The 27,942-nt window shown below is 33.4% G+C and overlaps 1 protein-coding gene and 1 long non-coding RNA gene across 25 annotated transcripts in view, besides 2 other annotated features; one reads left to right on the plus strand and one right to left on the minus strand.

Moving 5' to 3' along the window:
• The window catches only part of MBD5 (methyl-CpG binding domain protein 5), a 496,045-nt gene that overhangs the window by 3,153 nt on the left and 464,950 nt on the right, over window positions 1–27,942 (plus strand). For 3 of the 24 annotated variants that reach the window (XM_047445058.1, XM_024452988.2, XM_024452989.2), the window contains exon 2: window positions 887–27,917. The exons of 20 other annotated variants lie outside the window; for them this stretch is intronic. The gene's annotated coding sequence lies outside the window, so the exon portion shown is untranslated. The remainder of the gene's footprint in view (window positions 1–886; window positions 27,918–27,942) is intronic. One more of the 24 variants, XM_047445074.1, reaches the window with a different exon arrangement.
• The window catches only part of LOC105373673 (uncharacterized), a 34,765-nt gene continuing 16,338 nt past the window's right edge, over window positions 9,516–27,942 (minus strand). The window contains exon 2 of the long non-coding RNA XR_001739136.3: window positions 9,516–9,752. This is a non-coding gene — a long non-coding RNA (uncharacterized LOC105373673). The remainder of the gene's footprint in view (window positions 9,753–27,942) is intronic.
• Window positions 13,576–14,077: an enhancer, noted in NCBI's record as "NANOG hESC enhancer chr2:148795224-148795725 (GRCh37/hg19 assembly coordinates)". NCBI's record gives its function as "activates a minimal SCP1, AML or CMV promoter by ChIP-STARR-seq in primed H9 embryonic stem cells {active_cell/tissue: H9 hESC(primed)}" and the evidence as "EXISTENCE:reporter gene assay evidence [ECO:0000049][PMID:30033119]".
• Window positions 24,389–24,478: an enhancer, noted in NCBI's record as "active region_16615". NCBI's record gives its function as "activates an Ori minimal core promoter by ATAC-STARR-seq in GM12878 lymphoblastoid cells {active_cell/tissue: GM12878}" and the evidence as "EXISTENCE:reporter gene assay evidence [ECO:0000049][PMID:35858748]".

Consider the following 27,942-nt stretch of genomic DNA (forward strand, 5'->3'; position numbering starts at 1 on the left):
TCATTTCCTTTGTCAGAAATGAAACTATTATGTACAGTTCTGGGTATACCACTTGAGGGTTTCATATGGGAGCATGTTATTGTAAGAATATTAAGGTAAATGGCTTTAAAGCTATTATTTTGTCTACTTAAATTTAGTAATTTGTTAATTTTTTAAAGTACTAATTGCACTTATTGTAGGTTATTACTATTTTGAAAATAATTTCAGCTTTCTCTAATACTTATTTTCCTCCTGCACTTACAATTAATCAGTAAATATACTTACTGTTGTATTAAGGGCCCATACTTATAAGAATAAATGGAATGCATATTCTCTTATAAATGCTTACTTGTGAGTCTTGCCCTATGAACTGCCTAAAAACAAACATTTTTGTTTTGTTAACACATCCTTCTACTCTTGGCACAATATCTGGTACACAGTAGTTCCTACTGGTAGCTTGTCATAATCCATGTTAGTTTTAGAGTTAGGCATATTTGAATTTCTTTACTTCCATATGTGGAATTCCTTTCCTCTCCTTTTCTTGTCCTCCCTTGCCACAATTTTCACTATCATGAACATTTTTTCTTTATCTCTACTGTGGCTCTCATTTTATCTAATTAACAGCCAAATTAAATACTGTTAACAATATGGTACTCATAGTAACAAGACATATTCCCTTCTTATACAGGAAGCAGTTTGGCAAAAGTGATATATTATGAATAAGCAATAATGATCCAACACATTCCAGTTAAAAATATACTTGTAAAAATTGTTCAGGATGCACTTAAATTTCATTGACCGGTGCAATAGGTTGTTGGAATGATTAGGCCGCTTTTACCAGCTCTATAAAACAAGTGCTACTTAGGTGACATGTTTCCCTGACTTTGTTTTTTTGGTCCTTACCCAGACAATTATCAACTTTCCAGTTTTCTATGGATATGAAGATTTACTCCTAGTCATCAGTGGGACCCCCATGAAGTCAGCCAGAAAGCCTATATCCAACTTATGTACCTTTGCAAACTTGTCTGGATTTTGACTGTATGTGCAAAACAGATTGTACTTAGCGATTCATTAAACATCTTTTGATCATCTGCTGTCTGCCAGGCACTGTGCTAGGCATCTGAAAAACAAAGATGGTCCCTGCAGTTTAATGTGAAGAGCTATCTTAATTGTATTCCACAAGTGTATTGGTCGTATCTTTGTTTTGGTGTTTCTACCTAAATAAATTTTATATTAACTAAATGGATACTGTTAGGTGGAAAAATGCATGTTTAAGAAAGATATTGCTGTTATTTTATTAAAATACAAATATATAAAGAAAAATTTTCCACTTAATACTGTATTCTAGGGATTTATATTCTGTATATAGTTAACACATTTTAGACAATGAAAATAGCCTATGTGGTTGCCTTTGCTGGATTTTTATTGCTAACCGTAATTCTTTTAAGATGACCAACAATGTTCATTAAGTTATCTCATTAAATTTTTCCAAAAAAAAAAAAACACCCCAAACCCTCTAAACTTAAATCTTTTTCTCAAAAGTAACTTTTTTCTTTTTTATCTCATATAACAGATTATCATTCATGATTCATTGGAAGACATTGTACATTTTCATTTTGAGTTTTCAGATATTTTCTACCAAATTTTAGCAAATCTAACAGCATGATTTAATTATTCTGCAGTAATTAGTGTGCACTATTTAGGAGTTTTGGAATTTTTAGTATGTAGTAGAAATATCATTGCAAAATCCTCATAAGAAACTTCCCAATTCTAGTTCTAAGTCAGTTGTAATTTTTAATCTTTATTAAGTGGTATAATCTCTATAGCTTTAGTAAAATGATTTGGAATTTTCTTAGTAGATAGATGTTTCAAAAACAAAGAATCTTATCTCAGTTCCTGTCATGGCTTTCATGTGTAATCGAAAAGTATATTAGAAAAAGTACTGGATTAAATTTGCCTTTCTTAAAGTATACCTTTTACAAAAGTATTGATTTGCAGTTAAAAAGAAGGTGGGGATGCCTCTGCTGGTGCAGTATCTTGTGAAGATAAATAGACTCCTGAGTGGTGAATTCTGATCTCTTTCACGTTCATTCTTAACTTTCTATTTTAGTAATAATCATAGTTACCATTGATTATAAGTACCCAGCACTGTGATAAATTGAATTCACATTACATTTATGACACTTTCTAATTCAAAACACAGTCACAGTAGAGTTTTTATCAATCTGTACACTGGTAAGCGATGGTAAAATTATGGCCCTGATAGCTTCACAGACTAATGGAAAATTTCTGAAAGTTTACAAGTACAGAAAAACAAAGAAAAAAAACCCAGTCTTTTATAAGGAATGTAGATACAGACCATTGTACAATTTAAAATATACATAATGTCAGTCTTTTCTTTGTATGGCAAAAATGACATTTGGGAACTGCTCATGGTGACTCAACGCTTGTAATGTAATCCCAGCTACTCGGAGGCTGAGGCGGGAGAATTATTTGAGCCCCAGATTTTGAGGCTGCAGCGAACTATGCAATCCAGCCTAGGCCACAGAGCGGGACCTTGTCTCTAAAAATAAAAAATAAGGTCAGGTGGAATAGCTCAAGCCTGTAATTCCAACAACTGGGAGGTGAGGTAGGAGGATTTATCACTTGAGGCTAGTAGTTCAGGGTCAGCCTGTGCAATGTAGTGAGATCTGATCCCTACAAAATCAAAATAGTAGCTGAGCTTGGTGTGGTGCACACTGTAGTCCCAGCTACTCAGGAGGCTGGAGAGGATCTCTTGAACTCAGGTTGAGGCTGCAGTGAGCCATGATCATGCCACTGGACTCTGTGCTGAGCAACAGAGTGAGACCCTGTCTCTAAATAAATAAATAAACAAATAAAAAAACAGTAAAAAAAAGTTCAGTTCAATCCTTATCTGTATTAAACTTCCTTTAACTTGTGTGGAGTTACATTTAATATTTTCTTATATGAAGTTCAAAGGTTATAACAATTTCTGATCCAATGAATATTTACTATAAAATTTTTAATATAAATGTGTTGATGGTGTAAAAGCCCATAAAAAATGGGAAGTTTATATTGTCTTGTGCTTTGGTGTATGTATACACATTACCTTCTGGACTCTATCATACATTTTCATAATTACTACATTACATATATAGGATTAAGTTTAATGTACTCTTTTTAGTACTAAAGTCAGAAATATTTTGGTATAAGAATGATCAACTTGTTGGGTTCTCTAGGTGCCTAAATTATTTCATATTTATACTTAAAAGCTACTGAATTAAAATACTTTTTAATACAGTTCTCTTTGGGTAGTTGAGTTTTACATCCTTTACTTTTAAGAGAAAAAAAATTAAAAACTTTTTTTCCTGTTTTTATTACTTAAGTAACTTTTGTGTCTCTTCTAAGTAAATACATGTTCATATTATAAATTTATACAGGTTGAGTATTCCTAATCCAGAATTCCAAAATCCGAAATGCTTAAAAATCTGAAACTTTTTGAGCACTGACATGATGCTCAAAGAAAATGCTCACTGAAGCATTTTGGATTTTGGATTTTGAGGTTAGGGATGTTCAATAGATATATAAGGCAAATATTCCCAAATCTGTAAAAATCCAAAATTCTAAATACTTCTGGTCCACAAAACCTTTTGAATAAGGGATATCAACTTTTATTGACTCTATCGTCCTGCAAATATTATGCCAGTACATAATGACCTGCAGAGTTTGGAAACATTTTTAAATGCTAAAGAAATATTCTTTATCATCTGTTATATATTAGAAAAGTTTATTGCAAATGTTTTGTTGCTTATAAGAATAATCCGAATAATCAGTAGTGTGATCTTAAATAATTTCTTTAAACAACCCAAAGATAATTCAGTTAAAAGTAAATATTCTAACTCTAACACTTAGAGTATTTCTGTTTGAGGTATTTCTATGTCATGTAAGATGTCAGAAGCTGGAATGACTCACTGTAACTCACTATAACTCTTCAAAGAGACAGTGAGATCCAGGCTTAACTTATATTATGGTATAATTTATTCAAAGTTGGATATCACAAATTTTGATTTGTATCCTTATTTCAGTTGACCTATATAACCTTTTATTAGAGAACCTGTAATTAAGTTCAGTGTCATTGAGTAGATTATTAGAATACATTGTTTTAAAGGACTAATATGAGTTATGTAAATCAGTCACCAACCTTGAAATGGTGAAAAGTTTTTGTACACATATGCTTCACTGAATTCTTCTGCTAACCAATCAAGATTCTAGCAATGGGAGGAAAATTTTCTGTGTGGTGCTAATGTTAAAACTTAAGTTCATGTGTAGCTTTTAAAAAAAAAATTTAATATCTGTATCTCAGAAGTTAGAAGTAATCCCAAAGTGTTTTTTAAGATTGACTGTGTGCTAAATTATACTTAGGGTTATCCTTGTATTCACAATTACTGTTTTTTATACACCATGAGTCCAGAAGTATCTACTAATCTGTTGGCCATCAACTAACTTAATCCATACATTCTTAATATTATTAGGATCTAAAAATAATAATTTAGACTGTATAAGTACATTTACTGATGTTGGGGGAGGGAAATATTCCACATTCAATAAAAGCAAATATTGATTTTTAAATAGCTTTGTTACTTGGGATATACTGACCTAAAAAGAGTTCACTGTGTAAGATATAAAATATTCTTATTTGAAAAGTTATAAAGTATCATTAATGAGTATTAAATAACATAAAAATATTTAGGAAATCAAATACGTGCTCCTGTAATATTCAGAGGCTATTTTTTTAGTGTTATTCCAAAATCATTTTCCTTCTATATTTGTCACACTGGAGTTTCTGCTGAAGGATTTCTTGGCCATTTTAGACAATGTAATCTAGTTAAAAGGTTTGTTTATGCTTCCCATCTCTGTTCTGCTGATGGTATTAGAATGCAGGCCAGAGCCAGACATCTAACTGTTTATAACATTCAAACTTCAATTAAAGCTACAGTGTTCAGTTTACTATGTATCAGAAAGCTCTTACTAGCTACAAATATCACTAATAGTGATGAGAGTGATGTTGACTAGCTATAAGCTTTCCTAAATCATACCACTCATTAAGAATACTTTTTTTAAAATTTAGGTGTTAACCTTTAATTCTTTCATAGAAGTATAAAATTAAGCTTTTTTTTTTTACTAGAAGTAATATAGTCTTTTCCTTTAACACTTTTTATAATAAAACCTAACAGCATATATTATTGCATGTATTATTTAAATGGTCCACCTTAGTTGTTTTGAAATTAATGAATTCTGTAGAAGGTGTTACTTTGCTATTCAATTTATTCGAATTTTCTTCCTAGCTTGAAAAATATAGCAATATGTTGCCCACTAGAAAATAAACCTAACAGTCACATTAGTCAGGTGTTCTTACATGTATGAAAGGAGTCTAGTCCCACATAACACAGATTCTAATTTAACATATCGCTTTTCTAGGCTGCTGTTCTTATTGTTTTAAGTATTTTGGTAAATTGTTTTAGAAGGGTTTTTTGTTTTTAAAAATTATTTAGAATTCTTTGAAACCATTTCTTCAACAGCTTCTGTTTTTGTACAGTTTACCTGGGCCAGTCAGAAAAGGATTTGAATTTTATGTGTGTTTAATTTTTCTAATTAGTAGGCAAATTTGCTATGTTACATTGGTTTCTTTTTTTACGAAACCAAATTTTAGTTTTTATTAATTTTAGACCTTGAATGACTAAATCTACACATTCTTTATGTATGTACATGTAATTTTTATTGACATCCAAGTTTATAAGAGGTATAAGTAACAGATCATTTAGGAAAGATGGAAAATCATATTAAATCTAATGCATTGCTGGTAAAATGCTTTTAATTAAAAAATACTACGATGGAAATATTAAAAGAAGCTAAGTAATATAAAAAGTTAGGGGCCAGGTGCGGTGGCTCATGCCTTAACCCCAGCACTTTGGGAGGCCAAGGTGGGTGGATTGCTTGAGGTCAGGAGTTCATGACCAGCCTGACCAGCATGGTAAAACCCCATCTCTATTAAAAATACAAAAATTAGCCAGGCTTGGTGGCACATACCTCTAATCCCAGCTGCTTGGGAGGCTGAGGCAAGAGAATCGCTTCAACTCAGGAGGCAGAGGTTGCCTCCTGAGTGCAGAGATCATGCCACTGCACTTCAGCCTGGGTAACAGAGCAAGACTCTGTCTCATAAGAAAAAAAAAAGTTGGGAAATACTCTCAAGTGTATCTGAAGATAAGAATGAAAAACAACCATGCAAAACTTAGATTTATAGTTTAAATCCATGGAAAGATCTCTAAGATAAGCTAGGTTGAAAAGCACATCACAAAATAATATGCACACTATGATTTCATTTATGTAAAAAATGGACAGAATAATAAGTATGCAATGTTTATGAATGTATATGTTTACATCCATACAATACATTTTTATACTATTTATACCATAAAGACATAAAGTATATGCCATATATATTAGAACCTCAGTACATTAAGAAAAAATCTGGAAGATAGGTATCAAATTCCATGCTTTGTATACGGAAAGTATATATGTGGGATGTGGGAAGGTTGACGAATTCTTTTTATTTAATCTTTAGCATTACTTGGATTTATTTGTAGCAATAAGCTTATATTCATGTAATGATTTTTGATGAGAAAATATACTTACGTATTGAAGTAAAAAATGACCCAGGAAAATTGCAGTTCTAGTCTAAATAGTCACATGAATATATCCCTAGAATATCTTGAAGAGAATATAGTATTGGCTAACAGTCATCATAGCTTGATAGAGAATAAAGTCTGTCAGACTTATCTAACAGGGTGAAAAGCCTAGTCAATTGAGGAAGGAACAATGGATATAATGTAGTTTTTAAATATTTTGCTTCTTACTGAAAAATGCACTTCTCACTGTCCTGGAAAAATATAGACTGGGCTGCTGGTGATAAAGGATGGCAGTTATAAAGTGGTAGACAATTTCAATCTGAGATAAGATATAATATATGGGAATAAGATGAACTTTATTATTTTAATCAGTGATCCAAATTATTATATGTTCACTCAAAATACAGATAGTATAATCATGTAATATTTTTGTAATGTTTTCTATAATCAGGTACTGGTTTGAATAGAGGACAAAAATAAAACAGAAGGTTTGAAGACTAAGTACTTCTTTTTAAGTGACTGAAACATGTACTTGAAAAACACTTTAAGAACCTTTGTAAAATAACATTAAACTGAGTGTGTAAATATGCCTTGTAAAAAAAAAAGCAATTAGAATTCTGTAGAGTTAATCACAGTGTGCTTTTGGGGAGGACCTGAGTTAATCAGGGTTTAGGTGGAGTTTAGATACTAGTTTGTCACAGAAGAGGGTAATTCAGGTAAAGACAAAGCTTCCAATGGGTGAGAGGATTGGGAAGCTTATTTTTACTAGTTTGAAAGCTGGGATTAAAATTCAGAGTAGCCTGGTAAATTAGGGAAATGATTTGAAATAATATACCGTACCTTTACTTTTATGGTTCTAAAATTTTATTTCCCTGAATGTAGTTTCGAAAAGAAAGAAGTAGAGAAAGGGGGAAAAATTATTTGCACAAAAAATAAGGAAATGAATAGGTCCTTGCAATTATGACTAGAGAGTCCATTGGAGTCTGAAGTGTTTTCTGAATATGAGTTGGAAATGAAAACACTAGTTAAGGCAGCAAACATGCAAGAATACTAGCTAAGGTTCTTTTTTCTTTCACAAATAAATTTTTTACCCAGGTTGATCCCTAGGATCAATAGTAAATAGTACACAATTAAAACTATAAATCATCTATAAATGCTGAAAGTAACAAAGGATGCAGCTTATGTTTTCTCCATTTTCTTTATAAGTTTTGTTTGCATCTAATTTATTTCCAGGTACCCCTATGATGTAAATTACCATCCAGTCTTCACCTACTACCAGAAATTGAACTTTTTTATTTCTTCTGAAAGTTTAAAGAGTTCTAATATGGCTCTGTATTTTTTTTAGCTAAAATGTCATAGTGAATTTCTTTAAACGGTGGTTATTGTTGACTCAGTGTTTATCTCTTTTTCACAAAGGGTTTGCCAGTGTCTTTCTTTGACAAACATGTGTTGTTACTATTATGTGCTCACTGGGATAGTGAGCAAAAATAGACATAGGTCTTGATCTCCCGGAACTTATATCTAAAGATAGAAAAGGATATTAATGAAATAATCATACAAATAAATGCAAAGTTGGAACTGTTTCAGTTGCTGTAGAGAGGTACGTAATATGAGGGCTTTTAGAAGGAGAATTTACTCAGTGCGATCAAGAGGAATTTTTTTTTGGAGGAAGTGTTTATTTAGCTGAGATCTCAAGTAAGTTAATTTGATCAAGATGAAGAAAAGAGTTTTCTGGGAAGAAGGAATAGCATATACAGAGGTTCTGAGGTGGGAGGAAGCATAGTACCGAATATTAAACAAAGGTCAATGTGGCAGAAGTTTAGAGCAAGAGTTTGCATGGTAAGTGATGATGCTAGGGAGTTATGTAGGAGCCAAACTGCAGAACTTTGTGTAGGCCAAGCTTTCCTTTATCCTTAGGTTTAATATTTAAACTTAGACTAATGTTCCTTAGGTTTAACAAGAAAAACCTACTATTAATTATAAAAGATTTGTGTTATAGAAGTTCATTTTTATTTCAGTTTAAAACCAATAATGCTTTTTCCCATAGAATCATGGTTACAGTGACAGGTCTCATAAGAAACCCTTTTAACAGAAATAACATTGGAAACCAGTCAACGTAGTGTCATAAATATAACCAGGTAGAAGTTAGAAAAGAAAAGGAAGGAGATTAAAAGTTATGTCTATATGTATTCAAAAGAGAATGTCCTGGGTATGATTGACTAAGCTGTGAATAATGAAGAAAAAAGCCTTACTTCAAGTGCATTAGGCTGGTGCAAGAGATTCTAACAAATGATGGTGAGGGACACATTCAGCTGGACAGCTTAGAAGATCCTTAGCTGGCACCTAGATATAGAACAGAGTGATAATGTCGAGCAAACCAAGGTAGAAGGAGAGTAGAAGTATCACATTCATAATTTGTTCTGAATTTAGCACATATTCGTGTCAGTTGTTAGAATATAAACATTTAAAAAATTATATACTGGTAAGAAATGCAGAGCTACCAAATGTCAGCAATACAGATGCCAACTTTATTTTGATTATATTGAGAGTGATTTCATACAGTTAGAAGTGATTATAAATTGCTCAGTTGTACTATTTTAGGCCATAATGTTAGCTTTGAATATCTTAGTGTGCATCACTTGGAGTGATACTTTAAAGAGGAAGTTGAAGAAATTTAATTTTTTAATTCTTATTTTTCTTTTAACTTATTGTCAATAAATTATCTTCATTTCAGGTTGATCTTAAGTTTTAAGCCTCTTTGGACACTAGTTTCTGTCTGTATTAAGTAATTAACAATCTAATAACTGAAAATTCAAGGAATGCCCAAAATATTAAGAGCATTATAAAAAATAATTGATTAAGCAACTTTTATTAAGAAGAAAATATCACAAAGATGTAATAAATTGTAAGAGACAAGGAAGATATGTACAAGTCTTCATTAAATAAACAGCGTACCACATAACAGTTGATGAATTCTGCCAATGCTTGAAGTTGAAAATTGATGAAGGTACTTCATCAGGTGATCTTGAACTTAATTTTCTCGCATTCTCAGGTACAGCAGACCATGCTTTTACAGCAGATTGGCATCTAAAAATAAGAACTATAGAATTTAGAGCTTATTTATTTGTTTACTTATTTTTAAAACATTCCAATTGAGAAAATACCAGCATTGATTCATTTTCCATGCAATATCTAGCAGGCTACTTTTAATTAATAGACCAACAGTGTTCGGAAAGCTTATTAGAATGTTTGACAGCCTGGGCACCATGGTGAAACCTCATTTCTGCAAAAAATGCAAAAATTAGCCAGGCATGGGGGCAAGTGCCTGTAGTCCCAGGTCCTTTGGAGGCTGAGGTAGGAGGATCACTTAAGCCTGCGAGGTCAAGGCTGCAGGGAGCCGTGATGATGCCACTGTACTCCAGCCTGGGTGACACAGTAAGACCCTGTCTCAAAACAAAAGAATGTTTGAAAAGACAGTTTACTAAATTTATCTAATAATTCTAAGAGGTCAGTGTACCTCTTAAATAGAAATGAAGTTTCACTTGTGCATTTTTCAGGGATTGATACGTTTCTTCTATTTTACAGCTTTCTACTGTTGTTTAGCGAAGCGTATTCCAAGGTCCTCTAGTTCTGTGATAACTTAATAGGTATGATTATCCTCGCACCTGAAAAAACCCAAAAGGCTGCTTCATCAAATAAGGTTTAAAAACCATGATTATGATTAACGAATGCTGGATAAACATTTTTACTGCAATATTTTTTCAAGGGGTCTTAATATGTAATTCTTCTGAACTTCTAATAATGGTCACTAACATTTATTGAGTACTTTGCGCCACTCATTGTGCTAAAAGTCTTGTAGACATTATCTTATTTTATCATTATAACAAACAAACATTCTGAGGAACATACTTAATGAAGTGTTTCTTCATATTTCACTGCTTATAAACACCTACCCAAAAATTTAACGTGAAGAATACAAAAGTGAGACAAACATCATTTTCTTTTGTTGCATCCTTAGCGGCTTTGAGAAAGAAAGGTCATGAAAATTATTTTTAAAGTTAAGTGCTGAGCTTATCAATATGTTTTTACACTCTTCTAATTACTATTACTCACAGATGACCAATGATAAACATTATACCCTTTTTATTAATAGGCGACAACCTGTAGAGCTTTCAGAGACATTCCTGGGTTTGAGCATTGGCTCCATAGACTGAATACTACAATATAGAACCTTTAACGAGCTGTTAAAGTTCTGAACTTTAGTTTATCAGTAAAATTAGTATGGTAATGCATATCTCAGAGTTGTCATGACTATGAATGATAGAGTATGAAGTCCTAGAATGTTGTGGACATTCACTAAATTTTTTCATTTTCCTTCTCTCCTATTACTAATAGCATCTACTACCATAGTAGATGAAAAAAAATGAAAAAAATGGATTGTTACCTTTATTAATAACAAAATATCACAAAGATGAATTAATTCTAAGAGAGGGAAGATATGTGCAAGTCTTCGTTGAATAAGCAGGGTGCACTATTAGTAATAGTAGAAGGCGAGAAGGAAAATGAAATTATATTACTATTAATAACTGTTCTATAATCTGTATGTTATGCGTTAAAAATTTTTTCTTTTTTTAGAAATAAAATTATCTGTTAATCTTAAAGCTATTTTAAAGCTTTCTTGAACTCCTACATTTTTCTGAGGACTGATATACTTCATTTTTGTGCTGTTCTGCACTTTGCCAACACAGTAAGACCCACAAAGTGGACATCTGTAAACATGAAACTCAGATGGTGGAGAAATTTGAATAAATGCTCCCCAACTTGGTTAATGTAAATATTCTCATAACTTACAGCATTGGTTTTGGTGATTGTTATTAAGTGAACAAATATGTAAATATATTTTCTTTCCTTGTCTTTGTTTCCTCACATTAGGTAGGCAATATTGCAAAAACGTTAAGAGCACGGACCCTAGAGCCAGACTGTCTGGATTCAAATCCCTGCTCCACCACTTAACTAGCTATGGGATATTCTGTGCCTCAGTCTCTTCATTAGTAAAATGGGCCTAGTCAGTTGTGTCCACCTCAGGGTTATTTAGTGAGTTTAGATATAATCAATGCTTTAGATATATACAATGCTTTAAAAATGCCTGGTTCATGCTAAGTGACACAAAAGTATTAACTGTTATAGTGATTATATGTGTTGTCTTTATATTAGTTGTACTATAGAAAATAGTGACTAGTATATTATGGTAAATCTTTAACTTGGTAATATTTCATTTGGTACAATAAAACAAATTCTATTTATAGTTCTTTGAAATGTATACCAGACTTTTCAAATGACACTTTTATGTGTCTTTTTACATTTGCCAGATTCTTTACATTATTGTTTTACTTCTTGTTGAGGGAGATAGTGGGAAAAATATCTTTGTTGTTTCTCATAAAGAAACAGACATACAGAGTGTTTAGGACCTTTTAAAGTATAGCAATAAGAAAGTCAGTGGAAAGACTAAAATTAGAACCCAACATATTCCATGTGCCAATGTGTTGAGCCAAGCTATCTGTTCTCCTTATTGAGAATTCAAACAACAAAACTATTAGTTGACATTCTCCTCATTGAGAATTCAAACAACAAAACCATTAGTTGGCAAAGTAAATGTAAAGATATGTTCTTCTGTTGTTTAAAATTGTATTAGCTTGTGTCTGCTTTGGATATATCCTCTTACTTAAGGTTGGTTCACTCAAAGATTACTTGAAAAGTTTGATTTAAATGGGTGTAGACAATTAAAGTTAAGTATTGGGCTAGCCATCCCTTAGGACATTTAAGGGCTGAATATCTTTTTTAGCCATCAACTGGCTTTTTCTCCATCTTTGATGAACTAGGTCAAAAACTCCTATTTCTCATAGTCAGTACTCTAGTACTATATATGGGCTCAGTGCTCCTGTGAGCCATCCTAGAAACTTAACTGTCATTCTTAGTATTTCATTTCTATTAAGTGATTCCAAGTTTCAGGGAATAAATTAGTGAGCAATGAGGTTTTGAACAGCACTAGATTTATAAGGTGAACAGTATCTATGTTTTAATTTTCATATTAAAGAACATTTTAAATAGGTTTTTATTTTTTCTTATTTAAACTATTACAGAGTGTGTAACTCATAAGTTTAAGAAACTGATGAACAGTTTGGTTGGGGGACCCAGAAAATAATAAATATTGGCAATCAAAACACTCAGAAGCATTTTTAAAGAGATAATTATAAATGGTTGCGTAGATAACAAAAGTAATTTCAAATTTATAATTTATGCTCATAATTGCTTAAGACGTAGGGTTTTTATGTAAAGGCAGAATGAATTTTCTCTTCCAAAATAACCAAACTTAACATTTAGTATACTACTCTAAAAATTGCAAACACTTAATGGAGATTTTTACATAAAGGCCACTTTTATTGTAGAAAACTAAACAAAGATAATTTGTTTGTTTCAAATAACCAAGTATTGACTGGATTCTGGTACACAACATCCCTGGTATTTTTCATATGAAATAATGCTTAAATGTTATAAACAAGTTCTACAAAATGTTCTAAAATCTTTTTTGGTATTTTCATATATTCATTCTGCATAGAATCAGGAAACCTAATCACCCAGTAACCCAGTTTGAAAACTCATATTATTTTGTAAATCCTGATGTAATTAAACCACTTTAAATGTCTGCTAAAAAATATCAAGTTATATTTACATATGCTTTTTTAAAGTTATGCCTTGTGAAAAATATTATTATCTTTAAATGAGACAGTTAGAGACATCTTAAACTATTAAGGTTAACATCAGCTGCTAAGAGACATCAAATCCTGATTCAAGAGAATAGTAATATTTTCATAAGCAGAAATTTTTCTCAAAGAGAAAAAACAGAATGTGCAGTGTATTCGCATTATAAATGCAGTTAGGAAAAATGCATTTACAGAAAGTCCCAGGACTTGAGAAGCAAGCTCAGGTTTTTCATAGTGATGTAGAGAAGCATAAATGTTCATTAATTCAGTTACTCATTCTAAAAATATTAAGTACTTACTGTATGCCAGTTATTCACCTATGAATAAGACAGGCAAGGACTATGGAGCTTATAGTCTTTCCACTGAAGACCAATACTAAGGAAATATTTATGAGTGATATACATTACAAAAGAACAAACAGTTCTTTTCAGCTATTTAGAGAATGCAGATACAAGTTGAGTTGTAAAGCAAACATTTCTAGGTGATAATAATAAAAGCATTAATTTTTCATTCTCTCAATGTTTTGGATCAGGAGAAAGAGACCCAGAAAAGGTCTCTTATCCAAGGTTATATAACAACTGGTATATCTGGTACCTCGGTCCCCTGCCTCCTAGTGTAATAATATCTGCCATAAGAAATAAAGCAGGAATGTGAAAGAGAAGAAAGTCAGGCAGGATGCCTAGAAAGTTCAACCAGACACTGGATTTCAGTGTAGTCTATATAACAGGAGGAATCACATTTTTAAAACTTCTTTTATGCTTGTTTTATACATTTCTTTTCAGTTTCTTTTAGCATTTACTAAATCTTTCAGGACTTTGCTAAGTTCCATACATCTACAAAATTTCTAAACAGGAGTCTTATGTCCCTGGAAGCAAACTATGTTGGTACTATGGTTCCTAAATCTCATCTCTACAAAAACTTTTCAGGGTTGTATCTTTTTTCTTTTTTCTCGGTAAAGAAGGTTGTTTTCTTTAATTACCTTGAATTTAATAAGTACAGTCTTATGATTGCTGACAAAAAAAAAAAAAAGGAAAAGAAAAAGAAAACTTGAGGATTGGGGAAATTAAGGACACATTTTTTTTTCCTGGGATGGTTTTGATGTAACACCAGTTTGTAATCTTCTTACTGTGAATTAATCTTCACTGTATCTGATAATAAAAGAGTTTATAATAAGTTAGAAAGCATATCCCATCAATCACATGTAAGGTTTTGACTAAACTAACGGATAAAGATTTGTAAGGAAGTTAGGTGATTTTATCTTACTGTCCATTGTATTTTTTTAATTTGGTTTTTGATGTTACTGTTTAAATTATACCAGGTTAACGAAGGGTTTGATTTTTGTTTCAAAAATATATATTAAATAGAAAAACTGAGTACACATCCTAATACTTACTTTGACTTGGGGACAGCAAAGCACAATTATAGGATCACACTTTGAGAAGTAAATAAACTGTTTGAAAATTGAGTCTGCAAAGCTAGACATAGTAACAACAGGAAACATCCCACCTACAATGCATATGGCAAAGGAGAAAGATAGTGCAGCAGACTACAGACAAAAATAATAGCTGAGAGCTGAAAACAAGTATTCTGCTTTACAACCTTAGATCTGTCATCTCAAAAATAGAGATAATCTTTCTTCAAAATATAATATGGTGATGTGAGCATATTTTAATTTATAAGAAAAATCTTTTTCTTTAGGTATCCCATATCATATTTTTGCATTCTTTATAGTGGAGGGTACAGTGTCTCCTGTATGTTTTAAACCTTATTATTTTTCTGGTGTATATTTGTTGTTTTGTCTTCTAGGGACACATACTATTTTTACTTTACTAATGTGCCAAATTTTAAGAAATTTAATACTTAAAAAACCGAATATGCAAAGTTCGTAAAGTAAATGGTGAGAAGATTTCACTGAAGAATTGCTTTAAATAGAAAGCTCTTCTGATGTACTTAAGTGTTTGTAAAGTCACTTCCTACCCTGGGCTAAAAGAGACACAAGAAAACTCGAGGCTTAAAATGTTGGAAATCACTGTTGCTTGAATAGTAAGCAGAAATGAGGGTAAATCATTTCTGAAATTTTAAGTATAAACTAATGAAAAATTGCTTTGCTATAGAAATTGCATTTTCATCTAATTGAATATATTCATTTTATTAAGTGGGTTACTACTGTGTATTCTTTAATTTCATTATCTTCAAGATTAATTTATAGAGTCTATATGAAAATACTACGTGGAATAGGAGTTATATTTTATAAGGAGTTGCTGTGTTTTAAGGAGTTATGTTAAAATCACATTATCTGGTGAGTATCAGTTAACCACAAGGGTACTGGCCAGTCAGTTATGTTTCAAAATACCTGTTACTTAGTTTGAGAAAAAGTGACTTTGGGCACATATTCCTGCTTCTTATTTTGTAAAAGGGAATGCTGTGGTTTGTAATACTAGGCTATTGTCTAGTTTGATTCAAAGCACCCTACTCCATTCAGCCTGGGCAAGATAGTGAGACCCCATCTCTACAAAAAATTTAAAAATTAAGGGCGGGAGGAGGGAGAGGATCAAAAAACTATGTATTGGGTACTATGCTTATTTCTTGGGGGACAAAATAATCTGTGCACCAAACTCCTGTGACATGCAGTTTACCTATCTGACAAACCTGCACATGTACCCCTGAACCTAAAATAAAAGTTAAAAAGTAATAACTAAATAAATAACAAATAAGCTAGACATGGTGGCACGAGCCTGTAGTCCCAGAAGGAAGAGGTGGGAAGACCCCTTGGGCCAAGAGGTCAAGACTGCAGTGAGCCATGATTGTGTGACTGCACTCCAGCCTTTCATAAAAAAATCCCTGCAAAAGTACCCTACTGGTAGATAATATCTTCTTTAAAATTATAAATAATGTCATGTTCATTAAATCTGAGTGTGTATACTATATGGACAGAATAGATTATCCAGCCTTTTGATTCTTTAATTCTATCTCTCTGTGATCTAATTAAATAAAACTAAGTTACTTTGATGTATATATGGGTATTTATATCATTAATTCATAATAAGGCAAAATAAATAATTGCTGTAAGTGACAATGATAGCTTTTTAAAAAATATAGCCAACATTATTTCTGTTATATTTATTCAAACTCCCAATTTTGATAACAAACACAATTTAATCTTTATCATATATGTGTATCCATTAATTTATTTTTGGCCCCATCCTTAACAGTTAAACATATTATGGCAGTAGTTTTTGTTTTTGCGTGCGTTTTTCTCCTAGGTCTGGAATAACTATTCTTGGCCCTGTGGGTGCACATTAAAATCATGTAGGACCAGGCCCTAAATTTTAAATCAAAATCTTTGAGGGTGGAGGCCCTGGTATTTTTTAAAGCCCCTCACGTGATGGCTTTACAAAATAAGCCACAAAAGCACTGGTAGATGTTATCTACCAGTGATATGCTTTTGTGGAGTTTTGTTTGTTTGTTTGTTTTTGAGTCAAGATCTAGCTCTGTCACCCAGGCTGGAGTGCAGCAGATCGATCATGGGTCACTATAGCCTCAACCTCCGGGCTTAAGTGATCCTCTAACCTCAGCCTCCTGGGACTAAAGGCTCATGCCACCATGCCCAGCTTATTTATTGAAGTCCAGCCAGTATCGAGAATTACTGTGCTAGGGCTATGATCCCCTGTGTTAACATTTTCTTACCTTGCTCTTGAAGGATCGTTAAACACCAGTTCAGCGGGAGTTGGAGGGCTGACGACACTACAGAATCTGGACTCTATGACTTGTTTTGGGAGTAACAGGAGGGTGTGATGAGGAATTTCTGTGAAGGTGACTTCTGGATCCTCAGCTTCAATTACTGAAACTATGGAGAGACATGAAAGCACCCCACCCTGGCTCAGGTCAGGAAAGAATTAGGAAAGGGGACTTCTGACTGGTTAGGTGAAATTGAGGAAGGGTTAGAAGTTCAGGAAAGTAATACTTAAAAGTAGCAGATTGTATAGACACTCTTGTTCTGAAGTACCTTGAAATGGATTTGGAGAAGAACCACCATCAGGCCATCATGGATGATCTTTCTCAGGAGAAAGATGAGAACCAGTTTACAACAGGCCATCTAGTTTAACAGCTTTCACTCTTGTACCTGTACACACGTTACACACTTATGCATACTCATGTACATCATACACACAAACACTCGTTATTCTAAAGCAAGTAAGATGATGCAGAGATTGATTACTGGGGCAAAAGAAGGTTCTGCCTTGGTCTTCACTGCCTTTCTTCTGCTTTCCACCCATCTTTCCTCTCTCCAAAAACGTAAAAATCCTTTAATACCTACTTGCTTGTACTTGAAATTTTTTAAGGGGAACAAACTTTCTTCTTAAACAAATAAGAAAGTCTTAACATGGAAATATACACAGAAATCTTCTCAGAGCATTGTATGGTCTTTTAACAAGTTAAAGCCATCTTTATCCTTTCCTATATTTTAATCTGAGAGAGAGTGATAAGGAGAGAAAAGCTCTGGCCACCTAAAGGGGACTGTCTTCTACTTCGTTGTTTACTATTTACTTTTAATTGTGAAGAAAACCTAAAAATATATGTGCAAAAGTACTTATAACCTACCAAACCTCTGCTGAGCACTTTAGTTGCAGATACCTCATTAGCATATAATACTCTTGCTTTCAAGAGATGTGGAATTTCTCTTTTATAAGAATCTATGTGGATATAAATAGTGGTGATCAAGGCACTCTTACACTAAGAGTTCAGTGATGATACATCTCTGTCCTTTCTTGGCAATTTTTGCTACCACTTATTTTTAGTGCCTATATAACATTTTAAAGTTGCATCCTCCTTTTTATGACTGATGAGAAGCATATGCCTCTATGAGGAAGAAAAGGTATTTATGACTTACAGAAAAAAATTTCTCACAGCTATGAGTAAGCTATAGGGAACTGAAAACAAGAGGCCAAAGAACCTTTTTTTTTTTAATGGCCTTGGTTACATAAAGATATTTAGACCAGCTTTCAAAAATAACAACAGTTTTTAAAATTTACCATATCGAGCCTCAGTACGTTACTCTAAAACACAGCTTTATAATTCCTCTATAATCTACATTAAATGAAGAGTAAAATAAAACTACAAATTTAGGAAGATGAGGAGGACCAAAAAAACTACAAATAAGGTAAATAAGAAAAATTGCAAACCTCAAATCTCTTACAAAGAAAATTATGATATTAATAGTTTCCTTACTCACATTTGGTAATTGTATAAAGACTGCAGAGTTACTACCTGTACATCTGAAAAAGGAGAAAAAGGACCTAACCAGTGTTGCTGAAAGAAATTTTACAAATAAAGGGATCGATCTGGTAGCTAGTCAGGTTTATTTTTACCTGGGATTTAGGGCTTCCTGAGGCAATGTAGCCTTTACCCTTTTTTAGGTCTTAGCTCCCTTTGAAAATCTGATGAAATCATTAGATTTGGGGGGTAGGATGTCTTGTATAAAAAATTTTGTATGGGCTTGTTTATGTATTTCAGGGAGTTTGTGAGTGCTCTGAAAACGAATGAACTCCTAGACCACCTGTATCGGAATCACCTGAGTTGCATATTAAAATTGCAGACTATTGGACTCCACCCTAATCTTATTGTATTAGAATTTCTAGGCCTGGCACTGTGGCTCACACCTGTAATCCCAGCACTTTGGGAGGCCAAGGCAGGTGGATCACGAGGTCAGGAGATTGAGACCATCCTGGCTAACACAGTGAAACCCTCTCTCTACTAAAAATACAAAAAAAAAATAAAAAAATAAATAAATAAATAAATTAGCCGGGCATGGTAACGGGCACCTGTAATCCCAGCTACTCCTGAGGCTGAGGCAGGAGAATCGCCTGAACCCAGGAGGCGGAGGTTGCAGTGAGCCAAGATCGTGCCACTGCACTCCTGTCTGGGCGACAGAGCGAGACTCCTTCTCAAATAAATAAATAAATAAATAAATAAATAAATAAAAGAATAGACTTTCTAGTTACTTGGGCTCAGGAATCTCGATTTTAACAAGGATTGCCTGATGGTTCTCTTTCCATCACTAAAGTTTGAGAATCACTGCTCTAGAGCTTTATGGATTACACCAGTTCTGCCTTTGGCCTAGAAGCAGGTTTTCTTATTCCCTGTTCAGTGATACTTGACTCACCATATGTTGCCTACCAATTTCTTACCCATCTACAAAATCAGGATTGTAAAGAAAGATATTTGTGCTGGGTTGATAATTTTAGTTGAAGGAAATAAGTCATTAGAAATACATATTTTAGATCCTGGGTCTGTCAGTACCTATGATTTGCAAAATAAGTAAATTTAACTTATTTCCAGTCTTTTGTAAAACATATTTATTTGCTCTAAAAATGTATCTGCAGTTATTTAAGTGTTTAATACATCAGACTGGGATTTTCAATTATAGCTACTTGAAAATACTGCTAACTCAGAATAATTGAGGTCGGATCCAGTGTAAATTTTGGGGAAGCATGACTTACAGAATTAAATTAAAAATATATGCAGTTTAACTTCAGATGTACGTAGTGATATGAACTGTCTCCAAGAAGAGTCATCTTTATATCTGAATAAAGCTTATTTGTAATGCATATATTAAGTGGTGTTATGTAAATCAATGCTTTTAAGATAATTTAAAAACTGCTTGAAAATAATATGCAAAATTTGACCAAACATTTCCTTGCAAATCTTGTTATAGTCTTAATTTATTTTTGCTGGTTTACTTCACAGATAAATTTAGAATTGAACTTTAGTCTAGTAGGGACATGCCATTATCTCATTTCCAATTATTGGATCTGGATTAATGAGTGAGTATGCCCATGGGGCTGAACTATTTAGTATTAAGCAGAAACATTTTTATACCATGACACTGAGAACCAGGTTACAAGTCTAGTATTCCTGTGACTTTTTTAAACACAGAAGAAAAAGTTTCCTAGACAAGGATTATGCGATGTATTTTAGTCAACTTTCTCATCAAATGTGTTGTTGGGAGTCACGGGAGACCAGGTAAAATAATGTAGATGACTCAGTGAAGGATACTTGTTGCTAAGAGGAAATAAATAAATATAAGATGATGAGTGGGTAAGTCAGAAATACCTTTTCTGTGTGGGAAAAATATATGCTATTGTTATTACTATTCATTTGTATAATAAAAGTGCCTGTTAATGTTTATCTGTGTCTTTCTTAAAAGCAAATTAAAATTAGTTCAGTAAATATTATGTAAAATCTGTTATTCCTAAAGTCCTTATTTCTGAGAAACTACATGAAAATACCTTATAAAAATTTTTCATGTCTCCTATGGTCATCCAAATTTATGTAAAGATAATAGTTTTGGTAATTACTCTACAAAGATTAAAATTTAGTTGGTGATTTCCCTGCTGCCTCTTATTTTCCTCAGTAAAAATTTATGTTTTACTATAAGATGATACTGATTTTTATGGTATATTGTTTGGTAACTGTTGAATTCAATTTCTTGGTTCCCTTTGACTTTGTCCTCATGTATTCCTCAGTGGCGCACACGTGCACACATGCACACAAATACATCATTATGTCTCTGTAATAAGAGGTGTATTATATTTTCCTATTTGACAAAATGGAGTATAATGGTTATAATAGCAGCTTACTTTTGATAAGCGTACTAACTGGTACATAGTAAATACATACTGTGCATGCATTATGTCATTTATATCCACACAGTCACCTTCAAATTCAGTACAATTTGTATTCCCGTTTTACAGATGAGAAAGCATATTTTGGTGAACTCAACCAAGGTTACATGACTAGTAAATTTTAAATGAGATTTAATTTCAGTACTTACTAACCATTATGCATTGCTAAATTTGAACATTACTTTAAAATATAACTTCTAAAGTGTTCATATTAGAAACCTATAAATATACATAGATTTGTCTCCTCTCTTACGAAGAACACATGAAGGAAAGAAAGATATTAATTTGGTGGCTTATCATATGCCAGACATAGATATAGATGCTTGTATGTATGGCATTTAATCCTTATCTGTGAGGTAGGTCTTTTTATGCCTTTCTATAGATTTAAATTAAAGGTTCAGTTTAGTAACTTGCTCGAGGTTATACAGAATGTGGCAGAACTAATATCTGACCCCATAGTGCTTATAACTGGTAAATAAACAACTTGGATTAGGTCACTTTCTCAAGTGTACTGGAGACTAATTGCTCCAAGATAAAAGGCAGATAGACTGTTACCTACTAGTAAATGTAAAGAGGAAATGTCATTTCTCTTCTTTCTCCATTGTCTTTATGCTATTAAGTATGTTAGAATTTGTATATAGCAATCTAGAAATTTTGAAAACTTCCCCTCTTAATCCTAGAATGGATAATAAAATTGTTTCCTAATTTATGTACACAATCATGGTTCACACTAGTCAAACAGTTCACCAAGGGCTTGTTGTTAGTATTGTCTTAATGAAGTGCCTTTTTTTTTTTTTTTTTTTTTTTTTTTTGAGACAGAGTCTCGCGGTGTTGCCAGGCTGGAGTGCAGTGGTGCAATCTCGGCTCACCACAACCTCCGCCTCCCAGGTTCAAGTGATCCTCCTGCCTCAGCCCCTCGAGTAGCTGGGACTACAGGCGTGTGCCATCACACCCAGCTAATTTTTGTATTTTTAGTAGAGACGGGGTTTCACCATGTTGGCCAGGACGGTTTTGATCTCTTGACCTTGTGATCCGCCCACCTTGGCCTCCCAAAGTGCTGGGATTACAGGCATGAGCCACTGCACCCAACCTTAATGAAGGCTTTTTATACACTAGTGATGTTATGAAAGAAATAAAATACAAGGTTTTCGAAGTTTTGTGATTGGTTGAGAAATCTACTTAAACACATCAAAATAATTCAGCATATGATTAAGTTGTAGACTGAGTGGTTAGCAGTATAAGTCCCTGAGGTCTTTCAAACTGAGTATTTATGTAATTACTCATTAACATCTCCCACAAACCTCTTTTGCTTGTATTTACTTTCTTGGATGGTGCTGTCCCTGTCTACCCCAATTCCCCAAGTTAGAAATATCATAGTCCTCTTCCACCCCTTCTTTACCTCCATAGTCAGCCTATCACCAAATCGTATAGAATTGTTTTCCTTCCTAATTCCTAAGTCCGCTCAGTTCTATCTTTGTGTTATGCACATTGCTGCTAGTTTAGTTCATTCCTTGACTAGAGAATGGTAGTAAGTAATCTCCTTAGCTAATTAATCTGCCTCTGACTTTTCTGTACTCTGGGCCATATTCTGTCTTTTGCTGAGTTGTTACCAAACATAAACCTGGTTATGTCACTACCCTAATTAAAAACCTTGTGGATTGTTCCTTTTTATTGGTTTATATAAAATCCTATTTTCAATCTGAAGTATAAGCCCTTCATCTTTATATCTTATGTCAACTTAGACCTCCAGCTTCATCTCCCATTACTTTTCCCCTTATGATGTCTTTCATCGCAGCTAACCAACCCACTTCCTCTTCAAGATTATGTTGTGCTCCTTCAGGTCTCCTTGGCTTTATTCACATGCTGTCTTTTGTACAGTGCCTCTTGCCTTATCCACTGTCTCCCCCAACATAGTTTTACTGCAAATCCCAAATCAGGTGTCACTTCTTATCAAATCATCCTGGCCATCCTCAATTTTCCCCTTCTTAGTTAATGATGCACTCATTTAACTTTTATGATCATATAAGATGGTTGTTTTTTTACTTCTAGTGTCAGTCACCAAGATTATCAAGTTCTTGCTTTGTTTTCTTTTGCATCTTCAAATCTAGCTCAAGCCATAACTAAGACCATGACCTTTACTAAGGGTCATACAAACCTGAATTGAAGTAAGGGCTCTGCAACCAAAAGAAATGGAGTACATTTTGCGTGGAGACAGAGGAAGTTTTAAAAAGGATCATGGGCAATGGCAATTCTAGATGTTTTTTACATCCTGCTTGGCCAGAATTAAGCAGATAATACCTGAATATACGAGAAGGCCAAATTGGGAGATGTAGAAATTGTTAACCAATATTTTTACCAAGTGCCTTGATAAATGTTTGTGTTTGTGCCACACAGGCACTAGGGGTACAAAGATGAATAAGAAAGGAACTCTGCCTTTGAAGAAATTTAGAGTGACTAGGGGAGAAAGACATGTAAATAAATGTATAAGGTCATCTAGAGTATTCATTTAATGAAGTAATTGTAAAGAACAGCAAGCAACCACTTAGGATGAGAATACCTCCTTTGGCAGAATGGCCCTAAGTCCAAAGTGATACCTTAGCTAAATTTTAAGTTATGAGTTGGAATTCTACAATTGCATAAGATGGTAAGGGCTTCCTAGACTAAGAGAACAGCATGTGCAAAGACACGAGTTACAAAAGCAGCAAAACTAGAGAAACCATTGTTTGTGAGATCTCATACATAGAGTTGTTTATTTTAGAAAGCCTCACAAAGAAGCCTCTAGTAAGATACTGTAGATAATTCCCAACTTAAATATGCTGTCTTGAAACAATCCTCTTATATCAATTTATTCATTGTTCTTTCCCTTTGAAGTCTAAGGTGGATAGGGGCATAAACTTTGGTGATGATTAATTTAAGTTCAGATCCTGAAACATTCTGTCTCTGTAAAGCATCATTTTACCTGTTCAAAAAAAGGTTACTAACTACCTCCTTCTCATGGTTTTTGGAAGATTCAGAGGGATAATGCATACAAAGTTGTTGACACAATGCCTGGTCCGTCTCAGTAGGACTCGAGAAATGTTAACATATATTAAGGCTCCTGATAGGCCTTTTTTGGTTTCCCACCCATTTATTTAAGAAATTGTTTTTTAAATGCTTACTACTTATTAGGTGCTGGAATTATGAAGATGAGTAAACACAACATCTGCCTTTGAAGAATTTATAGTTTAGTGAGGATATGCACATACCTATGTTGAAAATCAACAATAATAATACAACCTGGCAAATGCTTTAGTGGAGAGTTTTGTGAGAAAATAAGAACTGAGAAAAGAAGCCGCCAAATCTATTTTTGGACATTAGCAAAGTCTTCTTCAGGGAGCACTGACCTGAAGAATGAAGAGCAGTTTGCTGTTTTGGAGTTGGAGAGTAGAGAAGAGTAAGGCTTTCCAGGAATGAGGAAGAACATATTCAAAAGGAGGGTCAAGGTAACATGACTTGTTCAGTAAAAGACAAATGATAAGAAAACCACTAAAAGAGAAAAGAATGGAGTAGAAAACAGAGGACTGAATGTACTCAGGGGAAACTCTGTGGTTGAAAAGTCCCCCAGAAGGCCTAAAGTTACTACTTTGCTCCCTTGAGAAAAGAAGTGAATAAATTTCCTAGGGTGGGTATGAGATAAGCCTCTCTGTGAAAAATTGCCCTGTCTCATCCTGGGATGTTGGAATAGTCTAGTCCACTCTTCTTACATGAATTCTTGTGTACTCCCAGAAAGTACTGCAGTGCTCAAAGGGTGAGGCAGGAGGAGCAAAGAAATAGAATTTCATTAGTGATGTTAGTGTCTGAGAAGTGGTGCCAGCAAGAGTCATATTGACCACATTGTGGGAAATGGTAAAAAAGAAGCATTTTCCTGTGGTTGCTGGGAGTTTCTGGTAACATGTGATGGATTGACTGGACTGTAGCTTGACTAGACAGTGGCATCAACCTGTGTATTCACTGGTTCTCAGCTGCCCAGTGATTGTACCCAGAAACTGGACATCACCTTAGCTCTTTAGAAGCTAGAAATCTTGTGGCAAGTGGATTTCGTGCACCATCCATTCTTCACTTTGCTTTGAACCAAGGGAGGAATTTGGATAGCACTAGAAATTTATGGAAATCTGTCAGTGGGAGCTAGCCATAGAATAATTGTTATGCTGTGGTTTTGCACTCCAGCTGTATTTCTAGCTAGTTAGGACTATGGCAATATCTTTTGAACAAGAAAGCAAACAGGAAAAATAACTGAAATTTGTTGAGTAATTACTGTTTACCTAGTACTGTAGTACTTGCTTTCTGTGGGGGAGAAGGGTGGCTTTCATTTTTTATTGAGGTAAAATCCACATAGCATGAAATTTACAATTTAAATCATTTTAGAGCATGCAATTCCTTGGTTTTCAGCATATTCACATTTTTGTGGAGCCATCACCAAATCTAATTCCAGAATATTTCTATCTCCCTGAAAAGAAACCCTATACCTGTTAGCAGTAACTTCCAAGTACCTCCCTCCTTCCCATATCGTCTGGCAACTTCTAGTCTACTTTCTAACTATATAGATTTGCTTATTCTGGACATTTCATATAAATGAATTTATATAATATGTGGCCTTTTGTGTCTGGCTTCTTTCACTTGAATAAGGTTTCATTCATATGCTAATGTGCATCAGTACTTCAATCTCCTTTATGGCTAAGTAATTTTTCATATGAGGATGTACCACATTTTGTTTATCCATTCATCAGTATTTGGTGATGGACATCTGGGTTGCTTTCACTTTTTGGTTATGGATAATGCTGCTGTAAACATTTGTGTACAAGTTTTTGTGTTAACATATATTTTAACACATTCCTAGGAATGTAATTGCTGGGTCTCATGGTGACTCTATGTTTAACATCCAAGGAACTACCAAACTGTTTTTCAAAGTAGCTGCACCATTTTCATTAGCATACGAGGGTTCCAGTTTCTCAGCTTCCTTACCAACACTTGTTGTGTCTTTTTTGTTACAGCCATCAAGTGAGGTTGAAATTTTATCTCATTTGGTTTTGATTTGCCTTTACTGATGGCTAACGATGTTCCAAATGTTTTCATGTGCTTATTAGCCATTTGCATACCTTCTTTAGAGAAATGTTTATTCAAATCCTTTTCCATTTTAGAGAAATGATTATTCAAATCCTTTTCCACTTTTTCGTGTTTGCCTTTTCATTATCTTTTTATTATTGAATTGTAAGAGTTCTTTATACATTTTGGATACTAGACCCTTATCATATATGATTGCAATATTTTCTCCCATTCTGTGTGCTGTCTTTTCACTCTCTATAATGTCATTTGATCCACAAAAATTTTGTCTCAATAATTTTTTTCTTTTGTTACTTTAACTTTTGGTGTTAATTTAATAGATTATTGCCTATTCCAAGGTTATGAAAATTTACATTATATCTTGAAGAGACTATATCCCCCCATTGAATTGCCCTAGCACTCCTGTCAAAAATCTGTTAATCAAAGACATGTGGGTGTATTTCAGGCTTTCAGTAATATCCTGTTGGTCTGTACGTCTCTCCTTATATCAATACTACACTGTTTTGATTACTGTAGCTTTGTGTAGTAAGTTTTGAAATCAAGAAGTGTGTTTCCTTACTATAGTTTTTTTGTTTCTTGATTTTTCTAAGATTGTTTTAGCTATTCAGGGTTCCTTATATTTTCATATGAATTTTAAAATCAGCTTGTCCCTTTCTGAAAATGAAAAATAGACTGTTGAAATTTTAGTAGGAGATTGTATTGAGTCTGTGGATCAGTTTGGGAATTATTGCCATCTTAACAGTAGTAACTCTTCCAGTCCATGAACAGTATGTCTTTTCATTTCTGTACATTTCCTTTAATTTTTTAAACAGTGTTTTGTAGTTTTCAGTGGACAAGTCTTACACTTCTTGGCTAAATTTATTCTTAAGTATTTTATTCCATTTAATGCTATTGTAAACAGAATTGTTTTCTTAATTTCATTTTTGGTTTGTTCATTGCTAGTTTTTAGAAATACAACTGCTTTTTGCATATTAATTTTGTATTCTGCATTTTTGCAGACCTTATTAGCTCTAAAATATTTTAGTGGATTCTTCCGGGTTTTTTATACATAAGATTATGTCATCTGCAAATAGAAATAGTTTTACTTCTAATCTGGATGTCTTTTCATTTCTGTTTTTCTTTTTTTTTTTTCGCCCAGTTTCCCTGGCTGGAATGCTTAGTACAATATTGAATAGAAGAGGTGTGAGCAGACATCCTTTTCTTGTTCCTGATTACTTAGGGGAAAGCTTTTACTGTCTTACCATTATGTTAGTTTTGAGGTTTTCACAGATGTTCTGTCAGGCTGAGGAAATTTCCTTCTGTTCTGTTTGTTGAGTGTGTGTGTGTGTGTGTGTGTGTGTGTGTGTGTGTGTGTGTGTTGTCATGAAAGGATGTTATATTTTGTCATATGCTTTTTCTGCATTTGTTGAGATGATCATATGGTTTAATATAATCACAATTATGATATAATAATTCTTCTAGATTAAATTTTATAGTATTTTGTTGAGTATTCTTGAATTTATATTTATAAGAGCTATTGATCTATAGTTTTCTTGGGATTTCTTTGGCTTTTGTGTCAAGATATGCTGGTCTTACAGTATGAGTTAAGGAGTATTCTTTCCTCTTCTGTTTTTTTAAAGAGCTTGATAAGGACTGACATTAATTTTTCTTGAATGGTAGAATTCGCCAGTGAAGCCATCTAGTCCTGGGCTTTTTATTTCTATAAGGTCAGTAGTGACATTCTTGTTATCA

Source organism: Homo sapiens, chromosome 2 (assembly GCF_000001405.40).
Source record: "Homo sapiens chromosome 2, GRCh38.p14 Primary Assembly".
NCBI classification, from domain to species: domain Eukaryota; kingdom Metazoa; phylum Chordata; class Mammalia; order Primates; family Hominidae; genus Homo; species Homo sapiens.